Raw genomic sequence first — 27,962 nt, 5'->3', positions numbered from 1 at the left:
TACTTTGGGAGGCTGAGGCAGGCACATCACTTGAGGTCAGGAGTCCAAGACCAGCCTGGGCAACATAGTGAAACCCCGTCTCTACTAAAAATAGAAAAATTGGCCAAGCGTGGTGGTGCATGCCTGCAGTCCCGGCTACTCGGGAGGTTGGTGAGGGGGGATTGCTTGAGCCTGGGAGGTGGAGGTTGCACTGAGTTGAGATCGGGCCACTGCACTTCAGCCTGGGCGGCAGAGCCACAATCTGTCTCAAAAAACAAAACAAACAAAACAAAAAACCTGGCCTGTCAGGGCTGTTGTAGAGTGCAATGGAATGTGTGCAGGAGGCTTGGCATGTCCCTAGCATGAATGAAACGCTTGGTTAATTGTAGAAGTGAAAAACCTATCATCAATCCTGAACTCAGAGCCTTTCTTCCTCTTGTTGGAAAGCTTTTAATACAAATTCAATTTCTTTAAAGACACAGGATATTTCATATTATCTATTTCTTAAGTGAGCTTTAGCAGTTTGTATCTTTCAAAGAATTCGTCTATTTCATCCAAGTTTTTGAATGTCCTAATGCCAATCATAAAATTGCTCATAATTTTTTTTGTCATTTTAATGTCTGGAGGATTCCTTTTTTTTAATATTTGTCAGCTGTGTACACTGAACCCTGTTGTGTTGGCCCAAAATTGCTTTGAGCCTTGACTGTGCTTGTTCATTTATTTTCTTTTTTTTTTTTTTGAGACAGTCTTGCTCTTTTGCCCAGGCTGGAGTGCAGTGGTGCCATCTCGGCTCACTGCAACCTCCACCTCCCAGGTTCAAGTGATTCTTCTGCCTCAGCCTCCTGAGTAGCTGGGATTACAGGCGGACACCACCATGCCCAGCTAATTTTTTTTTTTTTTTTTTGTATTTTTAGTAGAGACGAGGTTTCACCATGTTGGTCAGGCTGGTCTCGAACTCCTGTCCTCGTGATCCTCCCGCCTTGGCCTCCCAAAGTGCTGGGATTACAGATGTGAGCCACCGCACCCAGCCCAATTTAATTTTCATAACCACTTCTTTTGATAAAGGTGAGGGATAAAGATTCAGGGAGTGGCCAGGTGTGGTGGCTCACGCGTGTAATCCCAGCACTTTGGGAGGCTGAAGCGCATGGATCACCCGAGGTCAGGAGTTCGAGACTAGCCTGGCCAACATGGTGAAACCCCCCGTCTTTACTAAAAATACAAAAAATTGGCTGGGCCTGGTGCTGGGCGCCTGTAATCCCAGCCACTTGGGAGGCTGAGGCAGGAGAACTGCTTGAACCCGGGAGGTGAAGGTTGCAGTGAGCCGAGATCGTGCCATTGCACTCCACCCTGAGCAACAAGAGCAAGACTCCGTCTCAAAAAAAAAAAAAAGTTCAGGGAGGCTTTCCACTGCAGTGTAGTTGTTAGGGAAGACCTGGTCTCCCAGGTCTCAGAGTCCCAGCGTTCAGGCCATACTGATAGAGAATCTCAGCCTCTTGCCTCCCCGCCTGTCCCAAGTGAAGAGTGTGTTTTCTGGGGCTCCCCTGCAGGGCTGCTCTCCATCACTTCCACCTGAAGTCTGTCCCCATGCTCAGGTTTCTCCTTCTGAGATGGGAGGGTGCTGAGAAGGGGTCCCATAGTGGGGGTTTGTCCTGGACTCCACAACTCAAGAGACTTCAGCTCTTCTTCCCACAGGTGTCCTTAGATCACAATTTCTCCCCACCCAGATCTCCCAAACTGGGCAGCGATGAGGGAAATAAACCCCAGAGCCCAAGGGGTGCCATCCCTGGAGCTGGGCAAGCCTGGCTGTGCTTTCATCCACCACAGGTTCCTGGAGGAGACTCAGCAAGCCCAGCGGGCCAGGGAGGTGGAGACACTGCGCCAGGAACACCGGAAGGAGATGCAGGCCATGGTGGCAGATTTCAGTAGTGCCCAGGCCCAGCTCCAGGCCCGGCTGGCTGCCCTGGAAGCCGAGTAAGTGAGGCCTCGGGCCCCAGGGAGGGTCTTGCAAATGTACCATTCAGTAGGGTGGCCAACTCACCCCAATGACCCTGGGATTTCCTGGTTTTCAAATTGAAAGTCCTGGGTTCTGGCCAGGCACGGTGGCTCATGCCTGGAATCCAGCACTTTGGGAGGCTGAGGCAGGTGGATCACTTGAGCTCAGGAGATGGAGACCAGCCTGGCCAACATGGCGAAACCCCATCTCTACTGAAAATACAAAATTACAGGTGTGGTGGCACACGCCTGTAATCCCAGCTACTCTGGAGGCTGAGGCAGGAGGATCACTTGAGCCCAGGAGGCAGAGCTTTCAGTGAACGGAGATCAGGACCCTGCACTCCAGCTTCAGCAACAGAGCAAGTTCAGGGCAGGAGGCGGGGTGTGGTGGGGGGAACTAGCCAGGGGCTCATCAGTCTCCCTTCATTTTATGAGGCTATGTTCCCCTTTTCTGCAGGGCAGTGGGAATTTGTGAGGATGAGCATTGGTTTAACCCTCACACTTCGAAGAAATCAGAAGGATCAGGGCTGCTCAATTAGAATTGTTATTCCCACTGGTCCCTCATGCAAACATATTGCATTTATTCATTCAACAAATAATTGTTAAGGACCCATTGTATGCCCAGCACTGCTTTAGGCTCTGGAGTTATAGCAGGGAACAAAACAAAGACAATGCTCTCATAGGCTCACAAATTCTGCTGAGAATTCGGATAAGAAATAAGCAAACAGGCTGTGCTTGGTGGCTCATGCCTGTAATCCTAGCACTTTGCATGGCTGAGGCTTGAGCCCAGGGTGGACTGCTTGAGCCCAGGAGTTCGAGACCAGCCTGGGCAACATTGTGAAACTCCGTCTCTACAAAAAATACAAAAAAAAAATTGCTGGGCATGGTGGTGTGTGCCTATAGTCCCAGCTACTTGGAAGGCTGAGGCGGGAGGATCGTCTGAGCTCAGGAGGTTGAGGTTGCAGTGATCTGTGATTGCACCCCTGCACTCCAGCCTGGGCTACAGAGAGAGAAACTCTGTCTCAAAACAAAACAAAACAAAACAAAAAAAATAGACCCTGTCTCAAAAAAAAAAAAAAAAAAAAAAAAAAAAAGCAAACAGTTAACATCATACCAGGCGGTGAAAGTGCTGGAAGACAGGATTGGGAGTGGCAAGGGTGGGCAAAACAAGGCCTCTGTGAGGAGGTGATGTTTAAGTACAAGGAGGTGAGGGCACTCCTGAGGCATCAGTGAGAGGGAGGGTGAGTGGGAGGAGAGGAGCTGGGTGAAGGGACTCCTGCCCTGATGGGAAGGAGTTTGGATGTGTTCAGAGTGCCCTGGGAAGCCTTCACAAGGCACTGGGCAGGAGTGACATGGCCTGACTTGCCTTTTCACAGGGTCACTTCTGACTGCTGAGAAGAAACAGGGGGAGGGGGTGACTAGCAAGACCATTTAGGATGTGATGGCAGCAAGCCAGGTCCAAACAGGTGAAGCCACTTGCCCAAGGTCAGGCAGCATTAATTCAGTTTAAATGTCACCTGTCTGACCTTTAGCCTGAGCTCTTAAAAACTTCTCCAGTCTCCAATACAAAGCAAATCATCCAAAAGCCAGCAGGAAAGGTTTTACCAGTTACAGTCTAACGGGCACTTACTATATGCCAGGCTCCCATTATCACATTGAATTCTCACAACCACCCAGTTTCATGCCCATTTTAAAGGAGAGGGAACTGGGGCCCACACACAGGTGAAATGATGCCCAAGGTCACATATCTAGAAAAAAGAAGAGCCAGTATTAGAGCCGGGTCATCTCACCCAAAGCCCTGGGCTCTTATCAACTCCAGTCAGTAGATTATCTGCACCCCCAGCCCTCCTCTCCTCACCACCCAGTTACTCTTCTCTGGCTTCACGCTGAAAAAGCAGTGGGGGCCGGGCGCGGTGGCCCACGCCTGTAATCCCAGCACTTTGGGAGGCCCAGGAGGGCGGATCACGAGGTCAGGAATTCCAGACCAGCCTGGCCAACATAGTGAAACCCCGTCTCCTCTAAAAATACAAAAATTTCCCTGGCACGGTGGCGCGCGCCTGTAGTACCAGCTGCTCAGGAGGCTGTGAGGCACAAGAATCGCTTGAACCAGGGAGGCGGAGGTTGCAGAGAGCCGAGACCGCGCCATTGCACTGCAGCCTGGGCGACAGAGGGAGACTCCGTCTCCAAAAAAGAAAAAAAAGGCCATAGGTACCGGCCACTGGCCGCGCTCTATGTCCGCCAGCAGATGGCGCCAGAGCATTAAGAGAACCTACGGGACATTTTCCTGCCCTGGTCTGTTCTCCCAGCAGCATCCCTGGCTCTTGAAGCCCCGCTGAGTGCAGCATCTATGTGCACACAGGGGCCTTTGCTTCCTGGCCCTGCAGCCTCAGGGGACCTGACAGAGCTGGAATCCTGGGTTCGGCAAGCCATCTCCCCAGGGGGCCCTGGGCAAGCCGCTGCTGCTATCTGGGCCTCCCTGGCCGGGCTGAACACAGGATGGCATTCCCATCGTGTGCACTTGTTCTCCCTCTTTGTTGAGTAATTGCTGTAAGGGGGACTTGACTGCATGCCTGCTTGGAACAGACTGAAAGATTCCGGAGAGAAGCCAGGGAAGGGAGCGTCCAGGCCCGAGGACCTTCAGCTCATTGGCCGCCTGCAGACCCGCCTGAAGGAGAGAGAGGACATCATCAAGCAGCTCACGGTGAGGCTGTCAGGGGGCGCCTCACCCACGCACCTGGCCGGGCACTGCGGGCTCCCCCGGGAGGGGCGTTCACTTGCACCCAGCATTTCTCTAGGTGCCCTAATATCTTACAAAGAATCCTTTCTTGCCGTGCGCGGTGGCTCAAGCCTGTAATCCCAGCACTTTGGGAGGCGGAGGCGGGTGGATCACTTGAGGTCAGGAGTTCGGGACCAGCCTAGCCATGTTGAAACCCTGTCTCTACTAAAAATACAAAAATTAGCTGGGTGTGGTTGTGGGCATCTGTAATTCCAGCTTCTAGGAAGGCTGAGGCAGGAGAATCACTTGAACCCGAGAGACAGAGGTTGCAGTGAGCCAGCATAGCGCCACTGCACTCCAGTCTGGGCGACAGAGCAAGACTGTCTCAAAGAAAAACTCCTTTCTTTTCTATTATTAAAGAAGACATACTCACTAAAAAATTAATACAGGAAAATAGGAGGCAAAAAAAAATCACTTTACTCCCAAGTCCAACAGCATTTGCCCCATGTTAATATTGGTTTTTTAACTTACAGAATTTGAGAAAATCTATAATGGCTTAGGTTTGAATTGTAGTAGAATTAGTGTTTTTATTGTTGATCTTCTTTTTGTAAAAATGACCACCTGTTTTCTACTTAGCAAAGCCACTCCCTAAGCCCCTTGGAAAGAACCCAGCTCCCTCTGATTCAGTATCCAACCAAGGCCTGCTGGTCATTTCTGCTCCTGCTCACCTGCCTCACTTCTGTATCTCTCTGTGCTTTGAAAATTAGGTGACATTGATATGGAATTATTGCTCATTTGCTACGTGTGAACAAAGGTATCATGGGTTTTTTTTTTTTTAAAGTAATCCTTATTTCTAAGAAATACATACTGATGTTTTTACAGAGAAAAATTATGTAATAACTGGAATTTAGTAATAATACAGCAGGAGAGAAAAAAGTGGAAAATGATACACACAAACAAGATCGGCCATATAGTTATTATAGGTAAAGTGGGGATGGATTTCATTACTCTCCCTATGTTTGTATATGTTAGGCAACACAAATGTCAAACAAGACAGAGGAAGAAAGGCGGCAAAATCCTTTGCATACCTGGGGGTTTTCTTTCTTTGCCTTAATTACTAACTTTCTGCATTAGGTTACCTTCACATGCTAAGAACAGTTGAATTTTCAATTTCCTAAGGCATCAGCTTGCCCTTTTCTTTACAAGAGGGGCTGGGGACATAAAAAAAGCAAAGGTGCTTCCTCAAAAGCTTCAGTGCCTGGCAGCTTTATTCCCACTGACTTCCCCTTCCTCCCCTGGACTTTCCTTCTCTATTCTGCCCTCACAGCCATCTTCCTTCAAGTCAAACCCAGTGCTGTGTGGTTAGGCTCATTTAGACTCAGTTGTATTGGTTTTCTAGGAAGAGAGAAGATTTCACTACGCAGCATTCCCCAGTGCCATGTCCCACCGGAATCGGTCTTTCTCTTTCAATCCTCACCCGGGATATTTGACCCCTTCCATGAAGGTAAATTGGTTCTAATGGTTTTAATGCATTATACAATTCCATTGGTTTCGTTTTTCTTAAAGGTAACCACAGGTTATTTAAGGGCTGGTGTACGCTCAGAAAAATATTCATTGGAAAAAAAAAACCCACTTGTTTATATCTATGGCTGGGCGGATTATGTGTGATTTTTATTTTTTATGGGATTTTGTATTTTCCAAATTTTCTAGAATAAATGTGTGTCAGTATTAAGAATAGCTCTATCTAGGTGATGGGAGGGAGAAGAGTAAGAATCTTCCACTTCTTAACTATTTCTGTACATATTTTTGGAATTTTTCACAATGAGCATATTCACATTCAATTATCTACTATCACAAAATCCTAAAGGCTCTTAAAAAATAGTATTTTTGGCTGGGTGCAATGGCTCACACCTGTAATCCCAGCACTTTGGGAGGCCGAGGTGGGTGGATCACTTGAGGTCAGGATTTCAAGACCAGCCTGGCCAACGTGGTGAAACTCCAACTCTATTAAAAATACAAAAATTAGCTGGGCTTGGTGGCAGATGCCTGTAATCCCAGCTACTCAGGAGGCCGAGGTAGGAGAATCACTTGAACCCAGGAGGCGGAGGTTGCAGTGAGCTGAGATCGCACCACCGTACTCCAGCTTGGGTGACAGAGCAAGGCTACATCTTAAAAACAAAAATAGTATTTTTAAAAATAGTTCACAGGACAATACACTTGTGACTTAACTAATGTCATCTCGTGTAGTTTTTATGTATCCCTCATTGTGACAAAATACAAGTTTCACTCCAGAAATTTAAATAAATGCATTTGAGGCTAGGGTGGGCCCATCCCCTGCTGGGGGTGTTACATGACCTTCTAAAATCTTAAACAAAATTGAGTTGCAAAACACATCCATCTCCAGAAGTTTTGGTTAAGAGGTTGTGAACATACATATTTATTTATAATACAAAATGAAGATTGGAGGGAAAAGTGCTTTAAAAAATAGCATGTAAGTGTATAAATGAAATTGTTGCTTCTTCTCCGATACAATTTTGATTGGGTGAGCATTATTTGCTTTTACAATAATGCTTTATTTTGTTTTTTGCATTGCATTGCACTAACCTGTCCATTAATACAAACAGAAAAAGAAGGTGGAGGACGTGCCCAGCCGCGTGGTCAGCGTGCCGAACCTCGCCTCCTATGCAAAGAACTTTCTGAGTGGCGATCTGAGTTCCAGGATTAATGCCCCTCCAATAACTACATCACCCAGCTTGGACCCAAGCCCCAGCTGTGGCCGGACCTACAAACCCAACCAGTCTACAGATGCAAAAACTGCCACAAGGTTTGGGGGATGTTGGGGACAGGGGCCCTTATTCTATTTCCCTGTAGATAAGAGGGGAAGTAGGATTCTTTCTAGCACCTGGTACCAAATTCCAGAAGGCCTTTTTTCATGGATGATTAGACAAGGGACACTGAATCACTTACCTGAAAACTTCAGCATGGGTTATACAAAAGGTGGACTCCATCTGGCCTGGAGGTCTGAATTCAAATTACAGTCTTCCTCATTCTTAGCTCTGTGGCCTTGGACAGGTCACTTGACCTCTCCAGGTCTCCATATACCTTGCCTTTAAAATTAAGATAATACAGCACCTATCTCATCAGACTGACGTGAGACTAAAGGAATTAATCCATAGGATGTGCTTAGCACAGGACTTGGCACAAAAATCTTCAATATAGTTTCAGTATTATTACTAACATTATTCCTCAAGATTTACTCTATCACCTTGGAATTCTAAAGTCTCTTAATCGGGCCGGGCTTGGTGGCTCACGCCTGTAATCCCAGCACTTTGGGAGATGGAGGTGGGTGGATCACCTAAGGTCAGGAGTTCGAGACCAGCCTGGGCAACATGGTGAAACCCATCTCTACAAAAAATACAAAAATTAGCCAGGTGTGGTGGTATGCGCCTGTAATTCCAGCTCCCCGGGAGGCTGAGGCACAATGATCGCTTGAACGCAGGAGGCTGGAGGTTGCAGTGAGCCGAGATCATGCCACTGCACTCCAGCCTGGGTGACAGAGGGAGACTCTGTCACAAAAAATAAAAACAAAGTCTCTTGATCTGTAGGTTTGGTTAATCCTGCATTATTAGAGCTACAACCACTAAGTCTCAAAGGAACAATGGAGAACCAAACAATGGTGAACCTTCTGTTTTCCAAATGAGGATTAGGTACTCCCTCCCCAGCCCCATCCTTTACAATTTGTTTCCCACTACTAATGTTGGCCAGTCCCATTTGGGTGTTTTTGAAGAGTAAACAAGCAGTTATCTTTCCCTGAAAAGATGGTGGGTATTAAGCTGCTTCTTGCATAGTTTTCAAAACCATATAAAAAAACCTTTTTTTGCTTTTAGGACCCCAGATGGTGAAACGGCCCAAGCCAAAGAAGTCCAGCAGAAACAGGGCTCTCCGCACCAGGAATGGTTCACCAAGTACTTTTCTTTCTAAGCTAACCTTTGGGATACATCACAGAGGATACTTGAAAAACATTTATTTTAAATCATCCGATTGAAGGAATGAACTAACACCAACCAACCAAATAATATGCTTATGATTTATATATGATAGCTAAAACAAATTTTGGCGTTAACACTTCATACTGTTCTGCCAGGCACAGCAGCTCACGCCTGTAATCCCATCACTTTGGGAGGCTGAGGCAGATGGACTGCTTGAGTCCAGGAATTTGAGACCAGCCTGGCCAATATGGTGAAACCCCATCTCTACAAAATATACAAAAATTAGCCAGGCATGGTGGCGTGTGCCTGTGGTCCCAGGTACTTGGGGGACTGAGGCGGGAGGATCACTTGAACCTAGGAGGCAGAGGTTGCAGTGAGCCAAGTTCGAACTCCTGCATTCCAACCAGCCTGGGTGACAGAGGGAGACCCTGTCTCCAAAAAAAAAAAAAAAAAAAAAAAAAAAAAAAAAAAAAAAAAAAATTGACATTAAACCAGTGTTATTAAAAGTCATCTATAGGAAAATGTTATTAGCGTTACTAATGACCCATACCTTGTATTTCTAGTGTCCATAACATCATACTCCATTTTGTGGAACATCAGACTTTGTGATTTCCATGATCTATTTCAAAAGTGGTTGTACTTGTCCTTAGGATGCTAGTCAACTCCACTGGAAAGCTGTTTCTATGTAAAATGATGCAATTCCAAAATGCACATCTAACCTCAATAGGAAGACAAATAACAGTTAAACAGGAAAGCCAACTAAAAACAAACCAAACCTACCAGAAATGGATGGTAGCATGCTTGGACTGAATACTTTCACTTCCTTGGTCTAAGACAAGCAGCAGATTATAGATGGGATAACACCCACCTCTAAAAGGGCTTTGCAAGGATTAAGCAAGATAACATAAATTAACATGAATTGGAATTAAGTACCACAAGGTTTTTCTGTAAATAACCAATCCTAGCCCAGTTATAGGTCTCAGTGTAATGACCATAGTGCCAACATGATCACTTGTGAAGGTCTCTAGATTATCTGTTCTTTGAAGTCAAAGATCTTCTAGACTGGGCACATGGCTCATGCCTGTAATCCCAACACTTTGGGAGGCTGAGATGGGAGGAGAGCTTGAGGCCAGGAATTTGAGACCAGCCTGGGCAACACAGCGAGACCTCCATCTCTACAAAAAAATAATTAGCCCAAAGAAAACCCAGCTACTTGGAAGTCTGAGGTAGGACAGCATGAGCCCAAGAGTTCGAGACCAGCCTGGGCAAGATAGTGAGATCCCATCTCTACAGATTAAAAAAATATATATATATATCCCCTGAACCTCTGGTCTTTGGGTTTGAGCCATTTGCCTCATGGTGTGTTGCTTCTTCACTGCATGAATTCCCAGTGGGTTAAAGGAACCGCAATGGCTGTTCACGGTGCTGACCTTGCTCTCAGTCCACACTGATTTGTCTTACCTTCTGACAGAGCAATGTGATTTGACAAGACTCAATAACAACTTTTAGGGGGCAAAATATTTTTTCAGTCTTTGGTGCTGGCCCAGAAGGTGGCCCACAAACCAATGTTAATTCTATGCATTGTCAAATCTTTGCTCTTTGAATAAAACTTTGAATAACTGGGCAATAAAAATGGTTGACTTGTATTGATTTTCCACAGAAAGGTAAAATTAGATGAAGACAGCTTAGAAATAGAAAGTTCAGTTCACATTAACCTCAATCACACCATCTTAAAAAAAAAAAAGCTGATTACATATAACTGTCAAACTTACGTATTAAAGGTAAATTTACTGCCTAATCAAAACGAGGCTCCAATGCATTTTTAAATGCAAACAAACACTTGTCACCATACATTAACACACCATACTGTTTTTCACTACCAAATATTTTTTGTGAGTTTCCCGCTTAGAGTGTCTTAGTTCGTTCAGGCTGCTCTAACAAAATATCTTACTTATACTGGATAATTTATAAACAATAGAAATATGTCACTCACAGTCCTAGAGGCTAAGTCCAAGATCAAGGCACCAGCAGATATGGAGTCTGGGGAGGGCCCATTCTTCAGAAATGGGTGCCTGCTACGTGTCCTTACATGGTGGAAGAGGCAAGAGCGCCTCCCTGAGCCTCTTTTGTAAGGGTACTTATCCTACTCATGAGGGTGAAGCCCTCATGACTCCATTGCTTCCCAAAAGCCCCACCTCTTAATACTATTACATTGACATTAGGTTCCAACATATGAATTTTGGAAGGGACATCAACATTCAGGACATAGCAGTGAACCCTGTAGGACTGCTCTTTATTTTGTGCTTTCAAAAAGACTACATACAGGTGGTTCTATTTTTGTGTGTTGAAACACTTTCCCAGGCTGCACTTTGCATTTCTGTCCTTAAACTCAGCATGATCCCTGGGCAAGGAGAAAATTTTACTAGTTGAGATCGTACATAGGTTTTGACTCCTTTCTTGCTGCAGGTGACTGAAAAGATCTTTCAGTCTTAAATTTCTAAATTCTACCCTGCAATGATTATATCTTTGTTAACAAAATCTTTGCATGCTTCCATAATTTTTTATTGAGGCCATATGCCTTGGGTATTGAAGTAAGGCATTTAAGGACACAAACTTAAGCTTTTTGTTTGTTATTACCAAACTGCCATTCAGAAAGTTTCTAACAATTTACACCCTTACCAGCAGTAAATGAACCTACTGTGCCCTAACACTATTGACAAAGAAATACAATTTGATAGATAAAACATTCTATTTTAGTTTGCATAATGATTCCATCAATCTCTCAACAGCAGAGCGGTCTAGAGATGACAGTGATGGCGTAGAGGTGACAGTGAAGATGAAGAGAAATTATCCAATTCGGGATTAAGTTAAGAGAGAGAAAAAAACAGTATTTAATGGTAAATCTCTTCAGGCTGTATTATGACAGGGGTGGAAGAGTTAATATGTTCCTGCAGCAAAACTGAAAGGAATACTATCTGTTCCACATGAAAGCAAACTGTTTTGTAATTGGGGTAGGTAAAAATGGATTCACCCAGTCAATGGCTGCACACCACATACCTGAGCCCTTAACTGCTCTAACACTGATGTAATATCCAACCCAACATTTGTGATTGAGGCTACTTGGTTAATTTTTCTCCAGGATCCATCTGGATTCTGCAGATGAGGCTGGCAAATTAAATGGAACTATGATAGGGACCATCTTACTGTATCTGTCAGATTTCCAAGGGTAGCACTGATCTCTACCGTCACCTCACCTCCACCCCCAGGATGCAGTACTGTGTGTTTGTTTTTGAGACGGAGTCTTGCTCTGTCACCCAAGCTGGGGTGCAGTGGCGCCATCTCAGCTCACTGCAACCTCGGCCTCCCGGGTTCAAGCGATTCTCCTGCCTCAGCCTCCCGAGTAGCTGGGACTACAGGCACCCGCCACCATGCTAATTAATGTATTTTTAGTAGAGACAGGGTTTCACCATGTTGGCCAGGCTGGTCATGAACTCCTGACCTCAAAGTGATCCTCCAAGATAACGACAGAGGCCCCGGGCACTCACAGTCACCTCATCAGTTCCTCACTATCCCTCTGCAGGGAACAGACACTCTACTGTCCTTGTGTGCAGTACTCCTCTTATCTTCCACAGTTTGACTCCTCCCATTCCCCTCCACAGGGATATTTTCCCAGGGTACCACTGGTGGAATCCTCAGCAACTGGGCCACCCCCTCGTGTGAGTGAGTGTCCATACCTCACACGCTGCTCCAGATGGGTTTTGCTACCAGTTGGGCAGTGAGTGAGCCAGTCCCCAAGCCTCATCCTACTGCCTGCTCTCAGACCACATCCAGTCACAATTGTCTCAGTCAGGTCCTCCACCAGGCATGCCCCGAGACACAATTAGAAGTGCAAGACATTCACTGGGGGGTGTGAATGCCTTCAGCCAAAGCCCACCAGAAATGCCTGTATTTGAACAAGTTGGGTCTATTCATCACAGAGAACCATAGGACTTCTCAGACAGAGGGTGTCACAAAGAACCTCTTTTAGGATTCTGGCCCTGGTTGGGTGATTTCAAGGAAGTGAGGATTCACTCGATTGGATGCTGTCAGAATGGGGGCACTGAGCATCTCAATACATCTTATTTATAGGAAGGTGGACTAGAGTAGGGATAAAGGTATAATTGCATATATATATATACACACACACATATATATATACACACATACATACACATATATACGCATATACACATACACACACACACACACACACACACACACACACACACGGCAGCTGTCACTCGTTTTAACCAGCAGAAGGATGTTTGGTATTTTGTGAGTGGTAAACTGACCTTGAATTTTCTTTGTACGTGCTTAGACAAAATTATTAAGTGGTTTATTTTATCATGGCCTGAGAGCAACTTTGGGGTTGGCATTCAGAGACTGTTTATGTCCAACAGGAGAATGGCATGACCGAACAGTGTTGTCAGCTTCTGAATGTCAGGGACAGGTGGTTTTTTTCTTTCTCAGGAGAAACACCTATGTTAGAGAAAGGGGAGAGGAAACAGAAGACAGGAAGAGCCTATGATGTAGGTCTGACAGGTGGGCCAAGGAACACCGGGGCAAAAGAGGGCAGGACAGCTCCAAAGATGTCATGGCCAGGCTGATGGAAGCGCCCAAGCAGACTGCTCAGTATTTTTTTATTTTTTATTTTTTGAGACGAAGTCTTACTCTGTCACCCAGGCTGGAGTGCAGTGGCTCGATCTCGGCTCACTGCAACGTCCACCTCCTGGGTTCAAGCGATTCTCCTGCCTCAGCCTCCTGTGCCTGGCCTCAGACTGCTCATTAGAGGAGGCCTGTGTCGGGCAGAAATGGCCTAGCACCTGACCTCCACTGTGCTTGGTGACAGCCAGGACCAGCATGCCCTGGGCAGGAACATGGCGGCAGGTCCCCAATGCCAGGAGCTTTTGTAATTGAACTCCTTGAAGCTGCTTTCTTGAAGGGAGGACTGAGCAGTGCTCCTTCACAACCTCCAGAGGCCCAGGACCAAACACCTGGGAATGTTAACAGTTAAGACATTTGGGTGGAGGAGAAAAGAGGAAAGAAGGGAAGATGCATGAAAAAGAATTAAGTTCAAGTAAAGAAGATGAAGATGGGCTGGGCACGGTGGCTCATGCCTGTAATCTCAGTACTTTGGGAGGCTGAGGCGGACAGATCACTTGAGGTCAGGAGTTCAAGACCAGCCTGGCCAACATGGCAAAACCCCATCTCCATTAAAAATACAAAAATTAAGGCTGGGCGCGGTGGCTCATGCCTGTAATCCCAGCCCTTTGGGAGGCAGAGGCAGGCGGATCACGAGGTCAGATTGAGACCATCCTGACCAACATGGTGAAACCCCATCTCTACTAAAAATACAAAATTATCTGGGTGTAGTGGTGTGCACCTGACAGCTACTCGGGAGGCTGACGTAGGAAAATTACTTGAACCCGGGAGGCAGAGGTTGCAGTGAGCCGAGATTGCACCACTGCACTCTAACCGGGCGACAGAGCAAGACTCCATCTCAAAAAAAAAAAAAAAAAAATAGCCCAGCTACTTGGGAGGCTGAGGCAGGAGAACTGCTTAAACCTCTGGGAGGCAGAGGTTCTTCTGGGAGGAATGTCAAATGGCTGAAAAGGTCACCCACCAGCTTTGATGTCGGGTGGCAGGAATGTCCGGCAGGAGACAGTGCTGCCAGCTGCTGTTTGTAGAACACACAGGCTACCTGATGGCTGGGTGGGCCTTTCCCCAGCACTTGCCTGTGGGACCCCGTTGTGCCACTGCACTACAGCCTGGGCAACAGAGCAAGACTCCTGTCTCAAAAAAAAAAGGCTGTCCTGAAGATGTGAGTAGGTTTATCTGTGGAGAGAGATAGCCCACAGGCAATCTGCATCTTGGAGCCTGACAAGGAAGCTAAGCAGTATTCAAGAAAAAAGGCCTTCTTGGTGGAACTTTCTACCTTTCAAAGAGCTACCACACCCAAGACAACCTTGGCTTCTTAAGAACACCCTGGAACCACAGGTGGGTGGGCTGTTATCAACACACTGACCAGGGAAGAGGGGTGTGAAAACTCACTTCAAATCCTGCTTCTGCCAAAGGTTAAAGACTAACCTCTTGACTTTGGGCAAATCACTTAACCCACCTAAATCCCATACTCTTCCTCCATAACCCTCCTCTTCCCGAACAACAGAAATCACTAACACCTGAAGAATACTTGCTACATTCTAGCACCCTTGCTGACTTCCCATTCAACATCTCCTTTTTCTTTTTTGAGACGGAGTTTCACTCTTGTAGCCCAGGATGGAGTGCAATGGCACGATCTTGGCTCATCACAACCTCTGCCTCCCAGGTTCAAGCGATTCTCCTGCCTCAGCCCCCCAAAGTGCTGGGATTACAGGCGTGAGCCACTGCACCTGGCCTCAACATCTCCTTTAATCTGCAGAAGTAATCCTGGGGAATAGGTCCTAGTCTTATCCCTATTTTACAGATTTATTATCCATCTGTGAAAATGGGAAAAACAATATTGATTCTGTTATAAGGCTTCTAGAAGACTGAATGGGATCATTTACAAAATGTGTGTGGCACAGATGTTTGTTTCAAAGTTGAAAGCCTGAAGCCTGTGGGCAGACCTAAGGTCAAGCACCAAGCCAGACCAGAACGTACCCCTGGACAATCACAGCAGGAGTCTCTTCCAAGACATAATACTCCACTCCCCAGTACCAGAGCAGTGCTTGGCAGAGGGCATTCCACAGGTTTCTAGGGGAACTTGAGAAGATGGCTTGTGATTTTCTCCCTGAAAAAGTTAGCAGCTCAGAGGGTTTCTTAGAGGATTATTCATCACCCAGTAAGATGTCTACAAACAGAGAAGATTGAAAAATTGTTATTTGGCAAAAAAACTTCTGAATTTAATAAAGAAATGGCAACAACTGGTACGTACAGTAATTCAAAATCTTTTCACTAAGCACCAAATAGGATAGTTCTCAATCTTCTCAAGAACCTCTTTGAAAGAACGCCTAAAACCTAATCAGTTTATTTAGGTTTTTAGTCAAGAAATACAAAGCTGCCAATCAGAGTTTCTAATTACCATGAGTGACCAGGTTAGCAACCTTGAGGTCATACCACATGAGCTTTTAAAAGCTTTGTTTAACCTATACGTTGTAACTGAGGGGATTTGTTGATGTCAGGCTGGTAATCAGAGATCCATGTGCCAGATACCATATACACACACCAAAAAGATACAGATTATATGGTCCTTATATATTTAAGGAGAATAATGTCTAATTCTCATGGGTGTAGAATTAGTGAGGGGCAGAGAGACAGATACAAAGCACTAACCCACCAGGGAGAACCTAGCGAGGGCAACAGAAGAGATCAAAGTCCTGTGCCCTGGGGATGCAACTGAATGGGTGCTGGGAGGCTTCAGGGATCAGGCACATGAGTGGATGTCAGTCCATGTGGGAAGGGGCCTTCAAGGCTGAAGACAACAAAATGAGTCAAGGCACAAAGCCACAGGAGTACTGCCAATCAGAAGACAGTGAAGCATTTGTTCTGGGTAAAGGGATGTGATCTAATAAGATATAAAACTCAGAAAACCTTACCCAATGAGAGCCAGAAATCTCCATTTCTTAACAGCAACTCAACAGGGAATCTGAGGCTGCCCACAAAACTAACGAGAGCAAAATACCCTCCCAAAGGCAGGGCACCACATGCTCTCTGTGGAGGCTCAGTAGCCAATGATCACCCTGCAGCCCCTCCCCACCCCCACCACGACACTCTAGTCCCTTGGAGTCAAATCCACTGGCAACAACCTTCCTTAACGGAAAATGTTTCCCCTCCCAAAATGTAGAACAAAAATGATACACGCAAACAAAACTCAAAACAGAAAGAGACAATCAGAGCAAGATTTAGCCCCTCACAGCTCACCTATGACCCCACTGTCATGCTACTGAAAACAGTGACTGACCCATTAAACAGATTCATTACTGCAGAATGTAATGAATGTTAGCGTATCACTGCTCCCACTATATCCTTCTATGTCAAAAAAAAAAAGTAAACACCACATAAAATATAAACATACCCCAAACAGAAGTCAGCATCAACCTAAGGATCCTACTGTAAGATTACTATACTAACCCAGGACAGTTCCATCGTCTTCTGACCTATTTACAAAAAAATCCTCATTCTGAGAGCTCTGGAAACATTACAAATATTGTATTAGATTCCTCTTCTTGAGGTAGTTCAAAGTCTTAAAACAGAGCAAATTTACATACTTTTCTACACACCACCGCGGGGTAATTATCATAAGGCCTACGACTAAAACTCCCATCTCCTGATTCTCAGGCTACTATACTCTTTTCCTTCGGATCAAACTACAGGAAACACACATAAAAAGATGAAAAGTCATGCAAAAATTTAAAACAAGCAAAGCCACCATAAAAAAGAATCTGTGTCATCATATTCACAGTCTAAACTTTGCTAAAGACAAAAAAAAAATACTTACTTGGTTTATCCAAGCTACAGACATGTTATAAAGTACTCAAGAAATTAACAGCTTATAAAAATAGTGGAAAATTTTTCAATGGGAGCATAAAACTAAAATGAACTCATTATCTGGCAAAGAGTTCTTCCAAAATGTCAAGTCCACAGGAAGGAATGTGTGGCCAACCTCACGCATCAGCCCACTCATAGGCCAACTGCCTCTGCCCTTTGCTCACGTTGGCTTCAGAGGTGCAGGGATGTTGGCAGATGCCTGCTCCAGGTAGGCCAAGGAGCCCTGAGGGATGTCGGCGGGCTTTTTGTGCTGCACGTTGATGTCCTCCAGCACCTGCTGCCAATGCCTCAGCTTTGTCAAGTGCTTCTGGACTAGTGCATCTTTCCGCTGTAATTCATTCCTTAGTTCTGACACATCCTGCAGATGAAAGTCATGGACTAAGTCAGAGCAAATGCAGGAAAAACACATACGGTTCTGGTTAGTTAAGAGGCTAACAATTCAAAACAAAGAGAATCCATTAAACCATATTAAGCCCATTACTCTGCTTGGCTCCACTATTTGATTAACCCAGATGACAGATTCTAACATAAGTTTTTATGGGCTTTTTTTTTTTTTTTTTGAGACGAAGTCTTGCTGTCACTTAGGCTAGAGTGCAGTGGTGCGGTCTCGGCTCAGTGCAGCCTCCACCTCCCGGGTTCAAGTGATTCTCCTGCCTCAACCTCCTGAGTAGCTGGGATCACAGGCACACGCCACCACACCCAGCTAATTTTTATATTTTTAGTAGAGATGCGGTTTTGCCATGTTGGCTAGGCTAATCTCGAACTCCTGACCTCAAGTTATCCACCTGCTTCAGCCTCCCAAAGTGCTAGGATTACAGGCGTGAGCCACCACACCCGGCCTACGTTTATTTTTCTTATAGAAAGTAATATGCAAGTTACAAAATTCAAAAGGGCAGCCAAAAAGAAATCAGATTGATATGGTTTGGCTGTGTCCCCACCCAATCTCATCTTGAATTGTAACTCCTACAATTCCCATGTGTCGAGGGAGGAACCTGGTGAGAGGTAATTGAATCACGGGGGCAAGTCTTTCCCATGCTGTTCTCCTGGTAGTGAATAAATCTCACGAGATCTGATGGTTTTAAAAATGGGAGTTTCCTTGCACAAGCTCTCTTCTCTTGTCTGCCACCATGTGAGATGTGTCTTTCACCTTCTGCCATGATTGTGAGGCCTCCCCAGCCACATGGAACTGTAAGTCCATCAAACCTTTTTCTTTTGTGAACTGCCCAGTCTCAGATATGTCTTTATGAGCAGGGTGAAAACAGACTAATTACAGACTCTATCCCATCCTGGTCCCCAGCCATCCAGTACCTCTCTCCAAAGGCTACTGCTGAGAACCTAAAACACTGAAAATCTGAAACATTTGTTAACAACTGTTTACAAGAAAATCCACACCACTGATCTATCACTTCAGATTATGAACTGTTAAAATTACATTTTCAAGAGCTTTTTAAGAACAGCATTACATCCTTTACTAACCATCCAGTCTTGGACATACCTGCACTGTTATTCAAGTATTCACATCAGGAAATGATCTGACATGATAAACTGTAAGAATAGCTATCCCCAACAGCTGGTATCATGAATGAAAAGAGACTTTTTGATTAATTGGGACTAGTTACTTCAAAAATTGCCCCCAACCAATAATCTCAATTCAGTGTTTCTCACTGAGGGCATTGCCGGCTTTTTGGGCAGGATGATTCTTCACTCTTCCACATCACATGGGGCAGGTCCTGGCCCAACCCATTCAATGCCATTAAAGCTTCCCAAGTCATCGTGGCAACCCCAACACACTTCCAAATGCCCTAGCTTAGAACAACTGAGATCAACGAAATCCTGAGTTTCCAGGAACCTGGGTCGAACACTACTTTTTGATTCCTTGGATTCCTGTGTGCAAGGCACTGGGTAAGGCAAGTGGGGACACAGATCTCAGTTTTTGTCCAAAACAAGCCTATATGTTAGTGGCTTTTTGTCCTTTTTTCACATGGCAGAATCTTTTAAGAAAAATCTTTCCTGAAGGCCAATGTATGACACAAGTCACATCAGAGCTGTTCCGTCTGACACTCTGCTTTCGGACCCCACTCCTTGGCTTTACTTCTTGTTCAGGTTGTCCCAAACATGGATGACTAGCCACATTTCACACTGACCTATAAAGCCTGAATGAAACTCGCAGGAAACGGTTACATCTCATTTAAAGCATAAAAGGAATCCTGGCACCACTTAGTTCTTCCTATAGAGCTGAGGAGAAAACTGAGTTCATACCTCTTTGATAACTTGCTCTGGTTTCTGGACAGATAACTGCAATCTTTTTTGTAAGAAAAAACATTCTGTCTGTCTTGCAATATCCAGAAACTTCTGGATACACTGATCAACACCTTAAAAAAAAAGGAACAAAATTATTAAAATAAGAAAAACAACAGACTCATTTATCTCCCTCATAAATGAATAATCAGAATGTAAAAACAAAGCCCTCTCATAGACAACTCAGGGATTTTAATCTTGGCCACAGCAGTAATCATAACCCCCAACTTCTCATGTGTTAACCAACATTAAACAGCAGATAAGTTATGCTTTTCTCAGGTTAAAAAAAAAAAGAGAGAGATATTAATATAGCATAAAAGCCATGAGATCTTCTTTAAAAAGACAATGCAGCTGGGCATGGTGGCTCAAGCCTGTAATCTCAGCACTCTGGGAGGCCGAGGTGGGCGAATCATGAGGTTAGGAGATTGAGACCACCCTGGCCAACATGGTGAAACCCCATCTCTACTAAAAATACAAAAATTAGCTGGGCGTGGTGGAACATGCCTGTAATCCAGCTACTCAAGAGGCTGAGGCAGAAGGATCGCTTGAACCAGGGAGTGAGAGGTTGCAGTGAGCCGAGATCGCGCCACTGCACTCCAGACTGGTGACAGAGTGAGACTCCGTCTCAAAAAAAAAAAAAAACACAAGGCAGAGGCCAAGCGTGGTGGCTCACGCCTGTAATCCCAGCACTTTGGGAGGCTGAGGCAGTAAGACTGCTTGAGCCTAGGAGTTCAAGACCAGCCTGGGCAATACAGCAAGATCCCATCTCCACAAAAAAATAAAAAAACAAAAATTAGCCAAATGTGGTGGCTCACACTGTGGTCCCAGCTACTGGGGGGCTGAAATGGGAGGACTGCTTCAGCCCAGGAGGCAGAGGTTGCAGTGAGCAGAGATCATGCCACTGCACTCCTTTCTTAAAAGGGTGAGAGAGCAAGAACTCTGTCTCCAAAAAAAAAAAAAAAAAAAAAGAGACAATGCAGAGATCCAGCAATCAGCATCATAATTTACAGTTAAAATGGCACATATAAGGCCGGGCACGGTGGCTCACGCCTGTAATCCCGATACTTTGGGAGGCTGAGACAGATGGATCACCAGAGATCAGGAGTTCGACACCAGCCTGGCCAACATGGCGAAACCCCGTCTCTACTAAAAATATAAAATTAGCTGAGTATGGTAGTGCATGCCTGTAGTTCCATCTACGCGGGAGGCTGAGACAAGAGAACTGCCTGAACCCATGAGGTGGTGGTTGCAGTGAGCACTCCAGCCTGGGCGACAAGAGTGAAACTCCATCAAAAAAAAAAAAAAACATGTAAAATATGGTACGAAGAAATCAGAAGCTCTGGTTACCTTTAGGGACAGAACTTGGGGAATAAAAAGAAGCACAAGAGACTTTTCTCTGTAAGACCTATTCCAAAAATAATAAAATTTTTTTAAAAAGCAGTACACACTATTGGTCTTCTTCTTTACCTAGTACGAATACGAAAAGTTCATTATAAATGATTCGTTATGGGTGATATGTCAATTAATAAACTGAACCAAAAATCAGCAGCTCATAGAGATTATGTGCACACATTTTAGTCCCTGAAATGTTGTCTTAGGATAAAAGCAGGACTGAAACACATGAAGTATAAAATTAGCAACTAGGAAATACTGCTGAAGCCCAGAACATTGTGTACACAGAGGGAATGCTTACCGGTTCGAATTTCTTCCTGATCGGTGCCATTGACATAGTCCTGACTCACCAGAGATGCAAAGCAAGCCTGTGTAATCAAAACATAGGAAAGAAAAAAATATCATTTATACATCAAAAATCTTACTCCAGAGGAAGAAATAACTTCTCCTGAAGTCATCTGATGAGGTGGCAGCATCTGTGTTTGCATATGAGATGGCAAGACACCATGCCAATGGAAACATCTGGTAAACTGAGTTTACCAATTAATTAGGCCCATGGAGGAAGCGCCAGGCAAACGAGCCGGCACCACATCTGGTCTCTGTCCTACTACATGCCCCTTCCCTGTATCTTATTCCACACCAGGCCCAGACACTCTTCCAGCCCCACTGTGGCCTCTTGCTGGTGCTTACACAACTCACATCACCACCCATTCAGGACTCAGGACAATCTTCTCCCCCTCAGAGACAGCAGCCGGTCTACCCTTTCTAAACTGTGCCCCTCCTGCTCATGCTCCACACCCAAGCACAGTTTTATTGTTTTTCACATAATTAACTGACATCATATCCATTATTTTCATCCATTATTATCTGTCCCCTACTAGTAGATGAGAATTTTGTCTGTCTTATTCACCACTGTCCTCCTAGTGCCTGGAACACTGCCTTGGCACAAGGGAAGTGTTTAATAACACATATTACTGACTGGATGGCCTAAGAGGACAAGGTTGGTATCACATGGATAATCAAGTCCCAGAGAGAGTTATCTCTAAAGGGCACCTATACAGATGCAAATGTGAATCAGCCAAGGAGCTCTGTGCACAAGCAACTCTAAGGAAATGTACCAAAGCAGGCCCACTGCAGGAAGTGGGCAGGGAGATTGGGGAGGCACAGAAAGAGAACAGCATGGCAGTTGGAAAAGGAGTTAGAAAAGAAGCCTCAAACACAGGAAAGTGGAGCTCTGTCAGCAATCAGCAAACTACACTTGGTGTGAGGCAGACAGATCTGAGCTCAAATTTAGAACATTACCTACATGTGAGGGCCCTTTAACGAGCAAAAATTCTGCCTGCCTGCAGCTCCCGCGCTTGATTTACAGAGAAAGTAAATCAGAAAAACAGATTGCCCATTCTCAGGATTACTTTGAACATTGACTCCTGGCTGGGCACGGTGGCTCACGCCTGTAATCCCAACACTTTTGGGAGGCCCACGCAGGCAGATCACGAAGTCAGGATCCTAACTAGGAAGGCAGATCCACGAAGTCACCATCCTAACTAACACGGTGAAGCCCCATCTCTAATAAAAATACAAAAAATTAGCTGGGCATGGTGGCACGTGCCTGTAGTCCCAGCTACTCGGGAGGCTGAGGCAGGAGAATTGCTTGAACCTGGGAGGCAGAGGTTGCAGTGAGCCAAGACTGCACCACTGCACTCCAGCCTGGGTGACAGGGCGAGAATCTGTCTCAAAAAAAACGAAAGTTGACTCTTGTTGGGTTTGGGATGTGGGTAGGATGTACTTCCTTTGTGAGACCTATGGCTACTGGAAAACATCCCATTAATAGGCCAACCAGTCACAAACTGGCCAAAAAAGTTGGGCCAGCTCCCCTGAGCCAGGAGGCCTACCAGACAGGGTGGCAGGAAATCTCATCTCAAGAATTTTACTGCCCTCCACCCACTCAAGAAAAAAATTTAGGGTCCGACATGGTGGCTGACGCCTGTAAGCAACAATTTTGGAGGCCAAGATGGGTGGATCACTTCAGTCCAGGAGTTCAAGACCAGCATGGGCAACGTGGTGAAACCCTGTCTCTACAAAAACAAAAATTAGTCAGGCGTAGTGGTGCGCACCTGTAGTCCCAGCCACTTGGAAGGCTGAGGCAAGAGGACCACTTGAGCCCAGGAAGTGGAGGTTGCAGTGACCCAACATCGTGCCATTGCACTCTGGCCTGGGTGACAGAGTGAGACTCTGTCTCAAAAAAAAAAAAAAAAGAAAAGAAAAGAAAAAAAAAAGATACACAGGCCTTTATAGACAGTTGGACAGCTGTATTAAGAAGAAAATGTGTGGTAGCTTAGAAAGAGAACATATATTTTTTTTTTGAGATGGAGTCTCACTCTATTGCCCAGGCTAGAGTCAGTGGCACGATCTTGGCTCAATGCAACCTCTGCCTCCCGGGTTTCAGCGATTCTCCTGCCTCAGCCTCCCAAGTAGCTGGGATTAAGGCGTGTGCCACCAGAGACCACTAATTTTTGTATTTTTAGTTAGAGATGGGGTTTCACCATGTTGCCCAGGATGGTCTCGAACTCGTGACCTCAAGTGATCCAGCCACCTTGGCCTCCCAAAGTGCTGGGATTACAGGCGTGAGCCACCGCATCTGCCTAGAAAGAGAACAGCTTTTTAAAAGCATGGCTAAAACAGAGCCTTTGCCTGGAAAGTAAGTGCTTGTCCTCATTTCCACAAACCCAACGGCTGGCTTTCAGCAAGTAACTTGCCCTCACTGAGCCTCAGTTTCTCTACCTATGAATGGAGGAAATGGAACTAGATGGTCTCCAACGTTCCCTCCAAAATCAAGAGTGCATGAGCTCAATAAATTCCTTCCATCAAAGAGCATGTGCTAAGCAGCTAGAATGAGCAGACAGAGACCTCAAGGAGTGGCACCCCAATAGGAATGAGAAGCAGGTAAGTAGGTGCTGCTATGTGCCACTGGAGGCTGTGAAAATTGAGGTCCACACAGAACACAAGGAAGGAAACAGGAAAAGTTCCAAAGAAAATGTGGCCTTTGAATTGAATCGTGAGACAAGACTAGACAGATCGTGATCACCCAGCAGCAGAGAGGATCCAGCTCGCACCACTCCCACTCCCCTTCACCTGGCTAAGTCAAAATGCTTCTTTGGCTTTCCTGCTCTCTGGGAAGCCTTCTTTGATGTCCACACCTATATGTGCTCCCACAGTACCCCAGGTTTCTTCTATCAGAGCAGTGATCCTACAACAAGGCAACTGCCTGCCGTTTATTACAAGCTTCCTGAAGGCAGGGACTGGTTTTCTCTGTATTCTCTGTATGGATAATCAAGTCCCAGAGGGAGTTCTCTCTCAAGGGCACCTACAGACATATATGTGAATCAGGCAAGGAGTTCTGTGCACAAGCCAACTACACTACAGGCTCCACACTACAGATTCCTTCAATGTCTGACAAATATTCATCTAGCACTTGCTATCTACTACCACTGTATTAGCACTACAGGTTACACAATGTGAGGGGTGGGGGTACAAAACAGGTAGTCTCTGACTTCATGGAGCCGAATTTAATGGTAAGTATTAAAAAGAAGGCCAGGGAAGGGTCCACTGAGGAAGTGATGCAGTGAGCTGAGGAGCGGCCTGGAAGCCCAAAGAGAAAACAAATGGTACACGTGGGAAAGTCTTGTGTGGCTGCAGTAAGGAAACGAGTCTGAAGGAGAGAACGCAACATGCAAAGCCTGGGAGACCACACTAAACATCTTGATCTTATCTCAAGGGCAACAAGCAGCCACTGTACGTTTTTAAGCAGCAGGGTGCTGGGAGTCAACTTTGGCTAAGACTTGTACAGGGCCAGTCTTTCAGCAAGTGCCCATGACTGAGAGCCAGCTCCCCTCAAGCACAATGCTAGATGCTGCTCTAAAGTTCACCAGCCCCTTCCTTTACCACTTAGCACCACCTCAAAGGTGTCTCCTCCTCCTCCTCCTAAACGGTCTGTCCTTTAAATCATTTATTTCTGGCTAGGCGCAGTGGCTCACGCCTGTAATCCCAGCACTTTGGGAGGCCGAGGCGGGTGGATCACGAGGTCAGGAGTTCGAGACCAGCCTGGCCAAGATAGTGAAGCCCTGTCTCTACTAAAAAATAAAAAAAATAGCATGGTGGCAGGTGCCTGTAATCCCAGCAACTCGGGAGGCTGAGGCAGGAAAATCGCTTGAACCCGGGAGGCGGAGGTTGCAGTAAGCCGAAATTGCGCCACTGTACTCCAGCCTGGGCGAGAGAGTGAGACTCCATCTCAAATCATTTATTTCTAAATCTTTGTACATCCGTGTGGTAAAAGCATTTTGTCCATGCAGTCTGAATAATCGCTTGCAAATTATATTCATTTACCACTGTGCTATTAGATACAATACAAAAGTCACAAAGTTGGGATTTTTATTTATTTATATTTTATTTTACTTTTTTGAGACGGAGTCGAGCTCTTGTCACCCACGCTGGAGTGCAATGGCGCGGTCTCCGCTCACTGCAACCTCCGCATCCCAGGTTCAAGCGATTCTCCTGCCTCAGCCTCTCGAGTACCTGGGATTACAGGCGCACGCCACCACGCCTGGCTAATTTTTGTATTTTTAGTAGAGTCAGGGTTTCACCATGTTGGTCAGGCTGGTCTCGAACTCCTGACCTCATGATCCGCCAGCCTCGGCCTCCCAAAGTGCTGGGATTACAGGCGTGAGCCACCGCGCCCGGCAAAACTGGGATTTAAAATGTGGAAAAGTTAACTCCAATTTGAACGTACATTACTTTATTACTACACAGGAATAGCTCATCTTCCACTTTAAAGACTACTGGAAATCACCAGAGCACTTATTTTCACCTCTCTATCTTCCCTCAATATACAGTTCACCTTTCTTGCTACAAGGTAAACTCCTTGGGCAAAACTGAGAGATTGGGTCACCTGTGCCTCCCTCCCTCCCTAACCTCCAGCATTCCTCCTTCCTCAGCTCTTAGTACCAAGCTGCGCCTGGTAACTTAAGTCAATTTCCGCTCTTAAGAGTCCCTTTAGGATCGTTTAAAGGTGAAGCCCAGCGGAAAGGATACAGGATACAGCAGTGAAACTCTCAGCTCCGAAAAGGCTTGAGCCTCTTACTAAACATGCAGGGATGCAAGAAACGGTGCTCGGGGATGAGACTAAGGACCGGCTGGGAATCTGGAAGGGTTCCAAGTTTGGGGTTTAGGCAAACTTCGGGTTCACGTTTCCACAAACGTCGAGTTTACGCGCCCCCGCCAGCAGACCTGAATTGAATACGGGCCACGGGGAAGCCTAAAGCAAGTGACTTACTTTAAGCCTCAGTTTCCCCATTTGTGAATTAGTTGCTCGGATCCCTGGAGGAGATACGCGTACGCGCAGTTCACGTTTCAGAAAAAAGGGAAGGCTAGGGACAAAGACGCCCATGTCTTATATTACCTCGAAAGATGACTCCAACTCGTCCACCAAAGTACTGCTGGAAGGTCTAGGAGCGCCTGGAGCTGCCTGAAGAAGCGAAGCTTGGCCCGGAAGGCCCGGCGGGGCCTGAGGGGGACCGGGTGGCTGCCCAGAAAACATACCCCCTAGTGGAGCCGCCATGTTTGGAATGGCGCAAGAGAGATCCACTGCGCCTGCGCGGAAGCCGGCTCAGAAGCTCACGTGGCTGGTGTAGTAGGCGTGGTCACGTGACAGGACCGAGCGATGGGAGGATTCTGGTGCACCCCGGAAGGAGGATTTTTAATTCTTCTGTTTTCTTGTCTATCGCAAAACAGAGTTTACATGTATTTTCCTTTTTTCTTAGCTTAAGAATTGAAGACTTTGGCCGGATTAGACCTGGTTGTGTGGAGAGGAGAATTAATAACTACAGTGGAGCGAGCCCTCCTGCGAGAGTCAGGATACTACTATGCTAGTCCCGACTCTGCCCCAAATGCCTGGAGAGACTTTGGCTAAGTCACTTTTTCTTTCCGCGGGCTGTTTACCGTTGGTAAAAGGAGAGGGTCACCCACTCACTCCACAAACATTTGTTGAGTCATTGGTTATAGCGGGAACAAGACAGGCAAAGTTCTTCCTGAATTCTGGTCGGAGATGGATAACGGAAACAACTTTGTTGAGGTTCCCAATGTGCCCGGCACTGATGTCTTTAAATATTTATGGTTACATCAAAGAGAAAGTCACTATGCTAATCTTTTTTTTTCTTTCTTTTCTTTTTTCTCAGGGTCTCGTTCTGTCGCCCTGGCCGGAGTGCAGTGTCATGATCAGGGCTCGACCTCCCGGGCTCAAACAATCCCCCTACTTCAGCCACCCAAGTAGCTAGGACCACAGGTGCGTGCAGTCGCGACGGGCTTTTTTTTTTTTTTTTTTTTTTTTTTTTAGTTGAGTCAGGTGTTTTACTGAGCTCAAGTGATTCTACCGCCGCGGCCTCCCAAAGTGTTGGGAATACAGTAATGAGCCAAGGCGCCAGGCTGCTAATTTTTTTTTTTTGAGACAGAGTCTCGCTTTGTCGCCCAGGCTGGAGTGCAGTGGCGCGATCTTGGCTCACTGCAAGCTCCGCCTCCCGGGTTCACGCCATTCTCCTGCCTCAGCATCCCGAGTAGCTGGGACTACAGGCGCCCGCCACCACGCCCAGCTAATTTTTTGTATATTTGGTAGAGATGGGGTTTCACCGTGTTAGCCAGGATGGTCTCGATCTCCTAACCTCGTGATCCGCCCGACTCGGCCTCCCAAAGTGCTGAGATTACAGGCGTGAGCCACCGCGCCCGGCACTAGGCTGCTAATCTTGTAGTAACCTGCTTTTAACATTTGCTTATCTCTCTCTTTTTTTTTGGTGACGGAGTCTCGCTCTGTCGCCCAGGCTGGAATGCAGTGGCGCGATCTCGGCTCACTGAAACCTCCGCCTCCTGGGTTCAAGCAATTCTCCTGCCTCAGCCTTCCGAGTAGCTGGGACTACAGGCGCCCGCCGCTCGGCTAGTTTTTCTGTATTTTAGTAGCGCCGGGGTTTCACCTTGTTGCCCAGGCT

The 27,962-nt window shown here is 46.0% G+C and overlaps 2 protein-coding genes and 1 long non-coding RNA gene across 5 annotated transcripts in view, besides 4 other annotated features; 2 read left to right on the top strand and 1 right to left on the bottom strand.

Moving 5' to 3' along the window:
* Nucleotides 1-11,894, top strand: part of FAM184B (family with sequence similarity 184 member B) — a 152,316-nt gene extending 140,422 nt beyond the window's left edge. Inside the window, exons 14-18 of one of the 2 annotated variants that reach the window (NM_015688.2) lie at nucleotides 1,804-1,950; nucleotides 4,555-4,672; nucleotides 6,087-6,191; nucleotides 7,312-7,511; nucleotides 8,575-11,894. In NM_015688.2, coding sequence (NP_056503.1) covers nucleotides 1,804-1,950; nucleotides 4,555-4,672; nucleotides 6,087-6,191; nucleotides 7,312-7,511; nucleotides 8,575-8,668 — 664 coding nt within the window. In that variant the 3' untranslated portion in view covers nucleotides 8,669-11,894. Of the gene's footprint in view, nucleotides 1-1,803; nucleotides 1,951-4,554; nucleotides 4,673-6,086; nucleotides 6,192-7,311 lie in introns of both variants that reach the window. The other variant, XM_047450066.1, reaches the window with a different exon arrangement.
* Nucleotides 4,323-4,412: a silencer, noted in NCBI's record as "silent region_15312". NCBI's record gives its function as "represses an Ori minimal core promoter by ATAC-STARR-seq in GM12878 lymphoblastoid cells {active_cell/tissue: GM12878}" and the evidence as "EXISTENCE:reporter gene assay evidence [ECO:0000049][PMID:35858748]".
* On the bottom strand, nucleotides 7,095-26,559 carry MED28 (mediator complex subunit 28). Its single transcript, NM_025205.5, has 4 exons — nucleotides 26,387-26,559; nucleotides 21,233-21,299; nucleotides 19,501-19,613; nucleotides 7,095-17,599 (listed from the first exon to the last, which is right to left on the bottom strand). Exons 1-4 carry the CDS (start codon nucleotides 26,543-26,545, stop codon nucleotides 17,402-17,404), a joined length of 537 nt encoding a protein of 178 aa, NP_079481.2. The 5' UTR covers nucleotides 26,546-26,559; the 3' UTR covers nucleotides 7,095-17,401.
* Nucleotides 26,015-27,214: an enhancer, noted in NCBI's record as "BRD4-independent group 4 enhancer chr4:17615609-17616808 (GRCh37/hg19 assembly coordinates)". NCBI's record gives its function as "activates an origin of replication core promoter dependent on BRD2, P300/CBP, MED14 and CDK7 cofactors, and independent of BRD4, by STARR-seq in HCT116 cells {active_cell/tissue: HCT116}" and the evidence as "EXISTENCE:reporter gene assay evidence [ECO:0000049][PMID:35650434]".
* Nucleotides 26,410-26,519: an enhancer, noted in NCBI's record as "active region_21353". NCBI's record gives its function as "activates an Ori minimal core promoter by ATAC-STARR-seq in GM12878 lymphoblastoid cells {active_cell/tissue: GM12878}" and the evidence as "EXISTENCE:reporter gene assay evidence [ECO:0000049][PMID:35858748]".
* Nucleotides 26,620-26,909: an enhancer, noted in NCBI's record as "active region_21352". NCBI's record gives its function as "activates an Ori minimal core promoter by ATAC-STARR-seq in GM12878 lymphoblastoid cells {active_cell/tissue: GM12878}" and the evidence as "EXISTENCE:reporter gene assay evidence [ECO:0000049][PMID:35858748]".
* The window catches only part of MED28-DT (MED28 divergent transcript), a 28,339-nt gene continuing 26,996 nt past the window's right edge, over nucleotides 26,620-27,962 (top strand). For both annotated transcript variants that reach the window (NR_186331.1, NR_186330.1), the window contains exons 1-2: nucleotides 26,620-27,058; nucleotides 27,162-27,268. This is a non-coding gene — a long non-coding RNA (MED28 divergent transcript). The remainder of the gene's footprint in view (nucleotides 27,059-27,161; nucleotides 27,269-27,962) is intronic.

This window comes from Homo sapiens, chromosome 4 (genome assembly GCF_000001405.40).
Source record: "Homo sapiens chromosome 4, GRCh38.p14 Primary Assembly".
NCBI lineage: Eukaryota > Metazoa > Chordata > Mammalia > Primates > Hominidae > Homo > Homo sapiens.
This window is presented reverse-complemented; position numbering and strand designations above follow the sequence as displayed.

Coding starts and splice junctions, on each gene's coding strand:
- MED28 (NM_025205.5), bottom strand. CDS start 26,545: ATGGCGGCTCCACTAGGGGGTATGTTTTCTGGGCAGCCACCCGGTCCC. Junction 21,300..26,386: donor AGTTGGAGTCATCTTTCGAG/GTAATATAAGAC, acceptor TTGATTACACAG/GCTTGCTTTGCATCTCTGGT. Junction 19,614..21,232: donor TCAGGAAGAAATTCGAACCG/GTAAGCATTCCC, acceptor TTTTTTTTTAAG/GTGTTGATCAGTGTATCCAG.